This window comes from Homo sapiens, chromosome 3 (assembly GCF_000001405.40).
Source record: "Homo sapiens chromosome 3, GRCh38.p14 Primary Assembly".
NCBI lineage: Eukaryota > Metazoa > Chordata > Mammalia > Primates > Hominidae > Homo > Homo sapiens.
This window is the reverse complement of record NC_000003.12, coordinates 151,272,641-151,286,003: the sequence shown is the minus strand read 5'-3', so window position 1 is coordinate 151,286,003 and position 13,363 is coordinate 151,272,641. Positions and strand designations below refer to the sequence as shown.

The following is a 13,363-nucleotide window of genomic DNA, read 5'->3' as shown; positions in this document are numbered from 1 at the left end:
CATTCCTGCTGCTGTAACAAAATACTTTAAACTGGGTAATTTATAAACAACAGAAAGGTCTTGCTCACAGTCCTGAAAGCTGGGAAGTTCAAGATCAAGGAGCCAACGGATTCCATGTGAGGTGAGGACCTATTCCTCATGGATGGTGCCCTGTGTCCTTACATGGCGGAAGGTCAAAGGGCCTCTTTTATACAACCACTGATCCCATTCACAAGGGCTCTACCCTCATGGCCTAGTCACCTCCCAAAGGCCCCACCTCTTAATACCAACACATTGGGGATTAGATTTCAATATGTTTTTTTCTTTTATTTTTTTTTTATTTCAATAGGTTTTTGGGGGAACAGGTGGTGCTTGGTTACATGGAGAAGTTCTTTAGCGGTGATTTTTGAGATTTTGGTGCACCCATCACCCAAGCAGTGTACAATGTACCCAATGTGTAGTCATTTATCCCTGGCTCCCCTCCCATCCTTTCCCGAGTGCCCAAAGACCACTGTATTATTCTTTTTTTTTTTCTTTGAGACAGAGTCTCACTCTGTCACCCAGGCTGGAGTGCAGTGGCGCAATCTCTGCTCACTGCAAGCTCCGCCTCCTGGGTTCACGCCATTCTCGTCCTGCCTCAGCCTCCCGAGTAGCTGGGACTACAGGCACCCGCCACCACACCCGGCTAATTTTTTGTATTTTTTAGTAGAGACGGGGTTTCACCGTGTTAGCCAGGATGGTCTTGATCTCCTGACCTTGTGATCTGCCCACCTCAGCCTCCCAAAGTGCTGGGATTACAGGCGTGAGCCACCACGTCCGGCCAGTCCACTGTATTATTCTTATGCCTTTGTATCCTCATAGCTAAGCTCCCACTTATAAGTGAGAACATATGCTTGGTTTTCCATTCCTGAGTTACTTCATTAAGAATAATGATCTCTAACTCCATCCAGGTTACTGCAAATGCCATTATTTTGTTTCTTTTTATCAACACATAAATATTAGAGGGACACAAACATTCAGACCACAGCACCACCTCATGACCACTGAGAATTAGACAAGGGTAACCAGCACAGCTGTTCCTTAAATGGCTCATTCAAAGACTAAATATAAAATTTTGGGCTGGGCACAGTGGCTCACGCCTGTAATCCCAGCACTTTGGGAGGCCAAGGTGGGTGGATCACCTGAGGTCGGGAGTTCGAGACCAGCCTGACCAACATAGAGAAACCCTGTCACTACTGAAAATACAAAATTAGCCAGGTGTGGTGGTGCATGCCTGTAATCCCAACCACTTGGGAGGCTGAGGCAGAAGAATCACCAGAACCCGGGAGGCGGAGGTTGTGGTGAGCTGAGATCACGCCATTGCACTCCAGCCTGGGCAACAAGGGCGAAAACTCTGTCTCAAAAAACAAACAAACAAACAAACAAACATACATAAAAAATTTGGCCTCACTGATTCTTCATTCTGATTAAACTAACAGGTCCACACATAATAGCCTAAGAATAACTGTTGTGCTCAAATTATTAATTATAAAGATATGCAGCTCTCTACAGCATTAATTGCCTAAAACCACTATTCTAGTCAGGCCACCAAGGAAATTAAATTACCAAGATAACCACACAACCCTCCCACAACCCAGAACTAAAAATAAGTGTGCTTAGCTAAAATCATTTGCTGGGCAGAGATGACTGATCTACATAATGTCAGGTGCGGCTTATTCTTTGGGTAGAAAAAAAAAAACAAACAAAACTCTACATGTGATCACCCATAGCACTTCCTTTGATTTCAGTTAACCCTCAGTCAAGTTCCCTGAAAAGTCAACACCACAAATCTTTCCTTAAACTTGCTGAGGCCATGCTCCTCCCACACATCGTGGCAGGATGACAAGCAGCACTGTTTATCAGAACAACTGTGGGAAAGTTTATCTGACAAAAACGAAGTATGTTCTTACATTCATTAAGTTTCATTCCAGCTCACTCAGTGACTTCCCAAGGCCTGTTTTCCTAACTTGTTCTATCACTGTATTAAAAAGCTGAGCAGTTAGGGTACTGAGTAAATAAACTGTCTGATAAAGCGGCGTGTCATCCTCTTAGTTACCTGTCCTAAGTTGAATCATTATGCAGGTCAGGGATTCAGACATCTACAAAAGGGATTCAAAAGTGTACAACTACAAGTGATTAGATGATTTAATACACTTGGGATAATATTATTTAAAATATTCATAGTCATTGTTCTCAGATAATTTCCATTATCTCATTTATCTTTACTTGCAGAACCAGAGCACGGAGTTGGAGAATATTCTCTGTCTTCCCCATATTTTGGTTACAGATATTCAATTAACAAATACTTCTGAGTATGTACTATGGTAGTGAACATCACGGGTACAAAACAAAGCCAGCAAGGACGGCTAGGCATGATACAGAAACACAGGCCACATCAGAAGAATAATGACAACACTGAGGTATTAGGGACATGTCTAAAGACGTGGTGAGTCTTGCAAGCAAATGGGAACAACAGGAAGATAATCAGAGATGACACATTTGTGAGACCTCAAGGTGAAAAAGAAAATGCTTTCCTCTGCTTCCTCAGCATCTTTCCAAAAAAAATACTGAAAAGAGAAAATACACATACAAAAGTTTTTGTTTTGTAACAAAGTTCTAAATTCTGATTCTTTGCTAACATCAGTCGAGATTCAGTCCTTCTGATTTTCAAGATTTAAACCCAATCTAATGCTAGCAATACAGAAAATCTGTTTGCACACTTCAACTAATTGGGATTAGACAATCAACCATGACTCAACGTTAGTATCCACACCAAAGTGAGGTTTTGTGAACTGCCTACAATACATGTACAAATTGCACCTATTAATTTTTTTAAAAACTGTTACTTCTTTCAATCTACCAGAAGGGGGTGATATTGTACCAGGCATTTGTTTCTCCATTGTAATTCTCAGATGAAGGCAAGTGCACAATTGCCAATGAAGTCCCATGTCCTGTCATTCATTGCAAGAGGTTTAACAAAAAGGCATTATTTTATAATGTGGTGACTTATCTCACATCTTAATGATGTAATTTCTGCCCCCTTTCTCCACTACTCTAAATCAACAAGCTGGTAGAACTGAATGCTTCACATAGGGAAACATAAAAAGGCATGTCTGCATTCAATGTTTTCCTATCAGATTACAATTTTTTCAAAACACTTTTTCAATTATTTTACTACAAAGCTCAAAAACTTTACAGCACACTAAATTAGGAAGTCCTGAGCGTGACATTTTGGATCCCCGACATTACGCGCTCCTCCACCTTTGCTGGCTTTCCTAACATTAAACCTTGGCTCACATCATTCTTTTAATACAGTACTAAGTTGACTTTCACCCCCATTCTACAAGTAAAAGAGCCATCCAACAAGAAGCATTTTGGATGCTAGTTCCTTCAGAGATCCTATAGAGGACAATTTCCAAATATGCTTCCTTTAAATATCCTTGTACACTGTACTTTCATAAAATGTTTACACCGGGCCTTTACTAAAATCCTCTACATTCTTACGTCAACATCTTTCTCAACAACCAGTGGAATCCTTTCGGCAGCCATGCCCCCCAACACATACAAAACACACACACACAATTATAAATAACTTGCCAGCAAAACAAACAAACAAACAAAAAAAAACAAAAAAAAACTAAATTATATAACCCAGCAAATATCTGCTATGGTTAAAATAAATTCATTGAAAATGTTCATATTTATCTGAAAATCCATCAATAGGTACTGATTAAACAAATTATGGAATACTACAAAGCTACGAAAAAGAATAAGGTCTATACAGGGCTCACATGAACAAGTCTCCAAGAGAGCAAGTGGGGATGAGGCCGGATGCGCTAGTGTCTTACTCACTATGCTCAATAAAGCAACCAGGGAAAGGCAGGGGAAGGGCAGTAACAATGAAGTTGTCTCTGTACTTACTTTAAAGAAAAATGATTTCAAAAGACATATGGTAACAATTATGCATAGGTGAATTCCGGGGTAAGGAGCAAAATAGGACATTTATGGAATCAAAATGTAAGCCAGCCAGCTATTTATGCGCAGTCGATGACGGCCTGGATAGAAACTGACTGGAAACAGTTACAGACATATTTGGGGATTACGTGTGTTAAACTCATTCTATTTGTAGTATGAATACACAAGGGATGTTTATATATAACCAGTCCTATTACTAATAAGGCAGAGTCCTGTCTCTAAATGGTATTGGAGAATGTGTGAGCACGTGGGGTGGGCTAGGGGTGGTTGTCATATCAGGGTTATGTTGAGGGCTCTGAGAAAAAGATTAGTCAGGAGGAAATCACAGTACTTTAATCTTAGGATTCCACCAAAGGAAATGGGAATTCAGAACTATTTAGCATAAATCAAAACACCACAGATAAAAGGAAAATATTGACTATTTTAGATTTTGTTTTTTAAAAGATTCTTGCACACAAGGACCAGGCCCTCTATTATTTTAATTATAATGTCGTTATTGGCTATGTTGTATTATGCCTGGTGTCTAGTGTTGAAAAGAGTCATTACCTACGTTGCTAAAAGTCATAATAAAATATCTTTTTATTTTTTATTTATTTATTTTGAGACAGAGTCTCACTCTGTTGCCCAGGCTGAAGTACAGTGGCGCAATCTCAGCTCACTGCAACTTCCACCTCCCGGGTTCGAGTGATTCTCCTGCCTCAGCCTCCTGAGCAGCTGGGATCACAGGCGAACTCCACCATGCCCAGCTAACTTTTTTTTTTTTTTTTTTTTTTTTTTTGTATTTTTGGTAGAGATAGGGTTTCACCATGTCGGTCAGGCTGGTCTGGAGCTCCTGACCTTGTGACCTGCCTGCCTCGGCCTCCCAAACTGCTGAGATTACATGCGTGAGCCACCGTGCCTAGTTTAAAATATCTAATTTCAAAAACATATGAAGATAGAATAAATATTGTCAGGCTAAAATATTTTTTCAAACATTAATACTTACTTCCAATTCTAATAAAGGAAAATGTGTACAAGCTAAACTGTGATTTAAGCATATCCACAAAATGTACAGCACAACCTAAAGACTACTTCAAAGTCCAGTCCTGCTACTTTCTAGCTTAGACAACTGTTAAATTTTCTGAGGCTCTATTTTCTTACTTGTGAAAAAAAGGAATAGTTACTTCTCCAAGGGTTGCCAGGTGTTTTGGCTGTGAAAAGATCTAGTAGGCACAGAGTACGCTTCAATCGAGTGTACGAGTATGTGCATTTGAGACGATCCAATCTTTCCAGATGAGCTTTCCTTTCAAGTGCCTAGCTGTCTGCCCCCTACCCACCCCTCACCATCCTTGTACTGCTACGTGCCAATAAAACCACAGAACAGAGGTCACAAGCTGACTGCTCACAAGCCCAATACAGTGCACACTCAGGTTTTGTTTTAGCCCACAGGGTATCAGGTCTACACTGGTTTGTAAGGTATTCGATTTAGACACCAACAAATGAAATCAGAGGAGACATATAAAGGCAGTAGCAGTGCACAGGCTCCAGGATCTGCCCAGCTCCAGCAACCTGATGTAACATCTCCATGCCTCAGTTTCCTTGTCTATTAAGAAAAAGGTGGGGAAGAAGTAGTAGACAGACCTACTTTACTCATGGAGCCATTGTGAGTAATCAAGCTAAAACACACAGAGTGTTTAGAACAGTACATGCAAATCAGCGTTTAATGTTCTGAAGACACTGGCCCATCCCAAGATGAGGCCCATGACTCTGGCAAGCTTCCAGACACAACTGTCCCCCTGGGTGGGCCCTTTAGCTTTCCATTTCTCCATACTCCCTCTACTCCCAAGTGTCTTACACAGAGTCCAACCCATTTGTACCACCTGCCACGAGGGGACCACCTGTAGGGCTATCCTTTTGGCCTTGGACTTTGCAACTCCTGGCATTAAGAGGCAAGCAAGCAGCTCCAGTCAAAGAAATTATCATGTTCTCCCCAGTCATACTCAATAACATCTATGTGAAACACCCCACGGGGAAGTCAAGAAGCAACAAATTATCATGTTCTCCCCAGTCATACTCAATAACATCTATGTGAAACACCCCACGGGGAAGTCAAGAAGCACAAAAGGGACCCGGAACAATTAATGGGTGTTTTTGAGACTGTCAGAGTAAACAGCATCTCCTGCAATAAATCAGGGAAGTCTTGAGAGTCGCACCTTAGAGATACGGTTCCTGCCAAATCATCAATTTAATCAGCAAAATGTTTACATCTGGAGGACTCTGCAATGTGCCCTGGTAATAACCAGGCTCTAGCGGCTCCTCCTCACATCCACTTGTCCTTAAGTTTATTTACCTACCAGATCTCACTGCAGCTGAAGCTAACAAGCCTCTCTATGCACATCAGTATTCTTAGCCCCTCAATCAAAGCATCAGTGAGGACTATTGGGGCCCGCTGGGGGTCTGAAGAAGAGTCCCTCTGGCAGGGAGAAATGGCGAACTTCTCTAAACAAGCTCTGTGTCTCACAGGTCTTTGCCAAGGATCAACAGTGACTAGCAAGTCTGTGAGACAGAAAGTAAGAAAATACTCTTCATGAGGGAAATAACTGTTTGGGTATGTGTCAGTCACTACTCCATCTCCAATGTCCAGAACACTGCCTCCTACGTAGCAAGTACATATAAAGCAACTAGAATAGTAACGGGCATGTCATAAGCCAGTTATAATTATTATAACTAAATGTATAGCTATGTTTTTAAGGCAAGCTGAACTTTACTAGTTGTTACCCATAATTTGGCAATGGAACAGCCTAAGTAAATACACTTAAAATGCAGGAACCTTATAAAGTAAGCTTTTCAGCCCCTTGTCTTCTTTCTTTCTGGTTCTGAGTTATACACTTTGAAGAGGACTTTGTAGCCATCTTCTGAAAACTTCCAAATCTAATGGCACTAATAGTCAATGGGAAAGACAGTGGAGCACTGCAGGACATCACCAATTATATTACAGAGCCTGAAAGGAACTAAAAATATGAAGACTTTCAAAATAGTAACACAGCACAAACACCAAAATGTTAACACACGAGGAGTTTATCTGAAGTCCTACTTGTGATCTATTTATCAGTAATGTTCAAATATGGGAAAATTAATGTGGGAAAAATGACAATGCAACACCTCTTATCTAGAATATGTCGACATTGGTGTCAAAATACTTCTTTATTCTGTTAATTCCGCATTTCCAGGTAGCTCCAACTACCCATCTCTGCACGTTATACTGTGAAGCTGCTGACAATTTTCTGAGGGTGCTTCAGAAAGAACCATATCTTACACATCAGTTCTCCACCTCATACCACATGTTGAATTTGACAATGGCAAAGGTTAGAAAAGAAAACAGGTTTTTGCCTGGCTGTGCATCAGATGATGTAGGGATGTGGGGAAAAGTAGGAGGAGAAATAAGAAAGCAGGACTGTTTTTGCATTACTGGAGGAAAGGAACTAGCTCAGAAGTCAGCCTAACACCCACAGAGATTAAAACGTCTCTTCCTTCCTCTTTGTTTCCACGTCCCAGTCTTCAATAAATTCTATCTGACAACAGCAGCAGAGGGACCCACTATCTTGTGGTTTCTGTCAAGTTCCTGATTTTCATCCGTAGTTGAAGATGAGCAAGAACTCTGTAACAGTGTTACCTTGGAGCCTACAATGAGAGGTATTTCAAAATGAGTGAAGCATGACTCTCACAGATGAAGGCCTAGACGCAGGTAAGAAAACAGCTTTTCCATGAAATGACTTGCATGTATGTGAATGGTGCATGGGAACAGAAAAGATTTCTGAGCTGGGCAGCAACAAAGCTGAGGAACACTGAACCATTGCCACTCACATTTTTCTCAGTAGGTTACTTTTTGTTTGACAACTATAATTGGTATATTAATATATTTCCCCATGCTAATATGGGGATCCAATACTGAAATATTATCATTTATGATTTAGGATTTCCAATCGTGGCTGTCAAAATATATCTGTGATGAAGAGATATCAAGGAAAATGTTTAAAAGGTATTCATCCAGGACAAACATTTCAAAAGCTCGTAAATGTGTATTAAAATTGCTTCTCAAAACTACAAAATCGATTAGCATAATACTTAGGTCAGTATGTCTTTGTTTGCAATTGCATATGTGTACAGATATATAGTTGCATTTACTTGTACATACACTTATATAGGTAAAAGTTTTTATCTTTGTCATTATTAGGATAAGTTAACCCCATTAACACCTACTAAAATAAAATGCCTTTAAATTGTAAATCACAGAAATATCTGTCCTAGGCATAGCAAATATTTGAGTTCATATGCTACTTATTTATAGTCTATGACTAATCAGCTAAATTACTTACAATTCTTTAAACATTATAAATTAAATTACATTCAGGAGAATTAGCACAGACCCACAATGTCAGCTTATTCAACCAAGCCCATGCAATCCATCTTGTCTACATATACTTTGTTAACCAAGGACAATCAATCCTACGGAGAAAATGAATCAAAGATCACACTAGTAAAAAAATAAATAGTTTGTATATTCATCTTTCTAAAACATACAAACTTGATAATCAGTTTTAGCACTAAAAAAAAACCTAGCCATTAAGTTAAAAAGAAAACAATGCACTCGGAAAATACCAAAATGGCATATTTTATGATTTGTAAACATGCAATGAATTTTATATTTCGGTAAAATTTATGAATACTATATATACAAACATGCATACAATTGTGTGCACACAATTAACACATTGGTATATATGAATGAACTCTATATTGTCATGTCTGGAAAAAAAAAAAACAAGGAGGCCAGGCATGGTGGCTCACACCTGTAATCCCAGCACTTTGTGAGGCCAAGGTGAGTGGCCTCAGGAGAGGCTGGTCAGGAGTTCAAGACCAGCCTGGCCAACGTGGTAAAACCCCTATCTCCACTAAAAATACAAAAATTAGCTGGGTGGTAGTGGTGCATGCCTGTAATCCCAGGTACTCAGGAGGCTGAGGCAGGAGAATCGCTTGAGTCTGGGAGCCAGAGGTTGTGGTGAGCTGAGATCGGGCCACTGCACTCCAGTCTGGGCGAGAGAGTGAGACCCTGTCTCAAAAACAAAAACAAACAAAAATAAAACCAAAAGAACAGTGGGGAGATTCCAAGGTACTCAAAGCATGAAGACACAGGGGAAGTGGGCCGGGTGCAGAGGAAGAAGTATAATTTCCTGAAGTATTACGGTGCCCACTTCACAGTTGAAGCAGGTACAGAGGGTGTGACTATCCTGAGCAAGGCCACCTATGATGCTTCTAAAGTGCTGAACAGAAGAAGAACACGGCTCCCTAGAAGAACGTTCACTCTATAAAGTGCTTCTGAGTGAATTTAGATGTTGAGGCTTCCCTAAGCCTAAGGCTCTATGAACTCAGAAGTCACAGGTTTATTCCATTTGGCCCCAGGATATCCTTAGAAGTTAGGTCGGTCACAAGTGAGCTGTTTCAACCTCCCAGTGTGAGCAGTCTCTAGAATACCAAAAACAGACCAGTCCAGGAGGTAGGCTGACACCAACACAAGCATATTCTGCCATCATCATGAGCATCCTCACCTGCAGAAGGCTGTCTAGTGGAGGATGATGGACAATAAGGAGTGTTTCCTTTAATTGAAAATTATATCAGTACAAGAGTGCCAAGTTTGTTTGGATAGAGCAGTGGATCTCAAAGTGCAGATACTATACCAGCTGAATCAACATCACCAGTGAGCTTGTCAGACATGCAAATTATTGACCCCAAACCTACAGAATCAGAAACAATGGGGGTGGAGCCCAGCAATCTCTTTTAACAAGCCCTCCAGGTAATTCTGTTGCACATTCAGTTTTGGGTGACCCCATGTCCTGGGACAGATCCAGTTTTCACCTGTTGTCTGGGCATAATTGAAAATAGTGCCTCCTTTCTATCTCAAAAGTGTCCTTGATTGTATAATAAATTAATTATGATCATCAATATGATCACCCTGCCAGTTCATACTGGATGCTAAGAAGGCATTTCATTGGCCAGATGCTGTCTACTACTTGGGATTTCAAATTAGCTTCAAGTCTGGTGCTACACCCATAGCCTCCCCACCATCACCCCGCAATACTAAAAGATGCATTGCCTCCTAAAAGTCTGAGCAGCACAGCTAGATAAATCAACTTCAGTAAAAATATCCTATCTTAATGAGAAAAAATACCTACAACCAAACTATGTAAAATCTATTTTAAATTCTCAGCTTCCTAAGTAGCATGAGAATCAGGTCTCCAAAACCCTCTTTACTAAATTTTCTGGTTCTTCTTTACAGGGAATTTTCTTTTCCTCCCTAGCACCCTTAAAAAGGATAAATCTAGTAATTAATGAATGCTATTTTTATAGTAATCATTTGGTTACATTAATTCACCGAAACACCAAGTTTACCACAGCAAAGCTTCTCAATCCACCTGTTCTTTAAAGTCAAAGTGAAATACTGGTCATATGCTTTTAGATCTGATTAGATTCCTTTGAAATTTTTGTCTTTACTCGGTATAAATTAAATTGCTAGCTTTTTATTTTTCACTGAAACCTCCCATCTGTTGTTTTTGAAAAGCATCAAAGGCCTTAGATATCATGTTCTGACCCCTCATCATTCAAATAAAAGAACAGCCAGGGACGGGTGCTGGCTTCTACCCAATTATATGACATCTGCTTTTGAGGTTAAGATACCAAAGAAAAGAGGAAAAGATCAGTTAGTTGGCTTCTGAGGTTGGCCCAAAGCGATCTGTACACTTGTGGTGTGATCACTTGGGGAAAAAAATCTGATCCTCGATACTCTCCAGGATCATACACACGCAATTATTTTCATCACATCACTTATAGCCTCTAGACTCTAGGAGCCATTTATACCAAGCAGATGGGAAATGTGCCACCTTCTATAGTGGGAGAGACACCTGGCTGGAAAGAACTCACCTGTTGCTGATGTGATCTTCCCAGTGAGTCGAGCCCTAAGGTCAAAGGTTGGTAGGAGAGCTCACACAAGGTTTCATCTAAGAACATTTCCATCCTGCTACAGATGATGAATGAAATCCCCTTCTCACTCTAGGGATATTTTGGCCATTTATTCATTCAACACTGATTCCTTACAATGAGGCAGCCAACATTCTAGGAATGGTAGAGATGGTGTGATGAAAAGGTTCTGGGCCTCTGGTGGCTTACATTCTAACAGACATATCCACAAACCTTAACATCATCACTCCTAGGAATTGATAGTCATTCAATTATGACAACAATCTTTGGACATATTATAACTTATAAGATTACATTTTTATTTCCTTAATGGGGATTTGGAGACGATTCTAATCTCATCAGAAGTCATTTACTGACTAGATCCAAATCCCTAACCTTAATCCAGCTGGGAGCTGATAGCCCTGCATGTACAGATGACAAAAACAGAATATGAAAAATGATACTTAGTTCAGTTAAATGTCCTAGGAGGTGGCCTTTAGTGTTGAATGTTCTTTCTCTCCTGGCCCCCAAAACTGCCTACCTATGTTTCTGCACAAGGATTTCACTGCCTCTTTCCCCACTATAAATATGCCTATAAGCACTACCTTTATAGAAGTGAAAAAAGGAAGAGGGAGGATATGGTCTGAGATAAAAAGAAAACCTAAGATGTCAGACCAGCTGTCCCTGTTATCACTGAGTTTGATACACAGCAGCTGTCCTTATAACTGGTACCACTGAGGCAAGTTAGTTAAGGAAAAATACAGGTTAACCAAAATAACAGGTTAAGTAGGAATTATTTTTAGAAACCTTAAATACATTATTTTAATTTGAAATACAAAGTGCACATTAATTGCTTAATCTTTTGGTTTTGTGGCAGCGAGGCCTTTTTTCTGAATATGGGTTGGTTCATCAGATATCTGCACCAATTTTCTTTCATGAGCCACGACTTTAGCACACTGCCAGTCAAATCCAGTTTCTCAGTTTAGTTCAAGTAGTGTGAGAACTTTAAAATGCTTTAGAGGCCACACGATTTAAAAAATCCAGACCCAGTCCTAGACTTTAAAGTCCCTCAAAAGAAAAGACTCTGTCTTAGCCTCATAACACAGTGAAGTTTTCAATAAATGTTACATGAATGGACAAAAATGAGGGTCTTAAATATGATTTGAAAACAACAGTCTGCATCACCAAGTTTTATTTAAATCCACTCCTACCCCAATTAAGAAATGGTATATGCCTTGTTCTAAAGAAGACAACCAGTCCCTATGTGTACAATGCCAAGTAGTATAGCATAATAATGAAAAGTGGGCATTCTAGAATCAGACTTTTTGGCTTCAAATCTTGACTCCACCACTTATTCTAATACAACCTTAATAAAGTCACTTAACAACTCTATGCCTCATTTTCCTTACTGAGTTATGGGGATTAAATGAGTTATATACATAAATTACCCAGAACAGTAATTGGCATAAGAACACAATCAGGCCGGGCGCAGTGGCTCACGCCTGTAATCCCAACACTTTGGGAGGCCGAGGTGGGCAGATCACAAGGTCAGAAGTTTCAGACCAGCCTGGCCAACATGGTGAAACTCTGTCTCTACTAAAAAAAAAAAAAAAAAAAATACAAAAATTAGCCGGGCATGGTGGTGTGTGCCTGTAATCCCAGCTACTCAGGAGGCTGAGGCAGAATTGCTTGAACCCAGGAGGCAGAGGCTGCAGTGAGCTGAGATCGCACCACTGCACCACAGCCTGGGTGACACAGCAAGACTCCATCTCAAAAAAAAAAAAAAAAAAAAAGAACACAACAATGTTTATTGCTGTCATTGCCAGCATCATCTTCTTTCCCAATAACATAGTGTGGTGCTCTGATGACTATAAGAACAATGGAAGCCAAAGAGATACAGAGGTTGAATATTCCTTGATCATACTGCTTTGGACCAGGAGTGTTTCAGATTTCAGATTTTGGAATATTTGCATTACACTTAGCAGATGAGAATCCCTAATCTGAAATGCTCCAATGAACATTTCTTTTGAGAGTCATGTCAGCCCTCAAAAAGTTTCGGATATTGAAGCACTTCGGACTTCAGATTTTGGGATTAGGGATACTCAACTTGTATTCAAAATTCCAGTGTGTTCCTTAACCTCTCCCTGCTCAGTTGACTCATCTGTAGAAAACAGAACAAAAATAACCACCTAGAAGAATGGCTGTAAGAGTTATCATGCCTGGTACATAGTTGAGAGTCAAAACATTATAGCCATTAACACTCATACAAGGAAGAAAATCTACAACTCCACACTTCAAGCCATATCCACAGATGTCCCCACCTCCTGCACATCTGTCAACCTCTACCCACCAAATCTTAATTAACCAGGATTTGGTTGTG

At 40.1% G+C, this 13,363-nt stretch overlaps 2 protein-coding genes across 28 annotated transcripts in view, besides 1 other annotated feature; one reads left to right on the top strand and one right to left on the bottom strand.

Moving 5' to 3' along the window:
- MED12L (mediator complex subunit 12L) overlaps positions 1–13,363 on the bottom strand; it is a 350,990-nt gene that overhangs the window by 150,650 nt on the left and 186,977 nt on the right. The window lies entirely within an intron of this gene.
- Positions 1,689–1,983: a silencer, noted in NCBI's record as "tiled region #3159; HepG2 Repressive DNase matched - State 8:EnhW". NCBI's record gives its function as "represses a minimal TATA promoter and a strong SV40 promoter by Sharpr-MPRA in HepG2 cells {active_cell/tissue: HepG2}" and the evidence as "EXISTENCE:reporter gene assay evidence [ECO:0000049][PMID:27701403]".
- Positions 7,462–13,363, top strand: part of P2RY14 (purinergic receptor P2Y14) — a 66,426-nt gene continuing 60,524 nt past the window's right edge. For 3 of the 4 annotated variants that reach the window (XM_011513340.4, NM_014879.4, XM_005247922.4), the window contains exon 1: positions 7,462–7,717. The gene's annotated coding sequence lies outside the window, so the exon portion shown is untranslated. Of the gene's footprint in view, positions 7,718–7,946; positions 8,012–13,363 lie in introns of all 4 variants that reach the window. The other variant, XM_017007583.3, reaches the window with a different exon arrangement.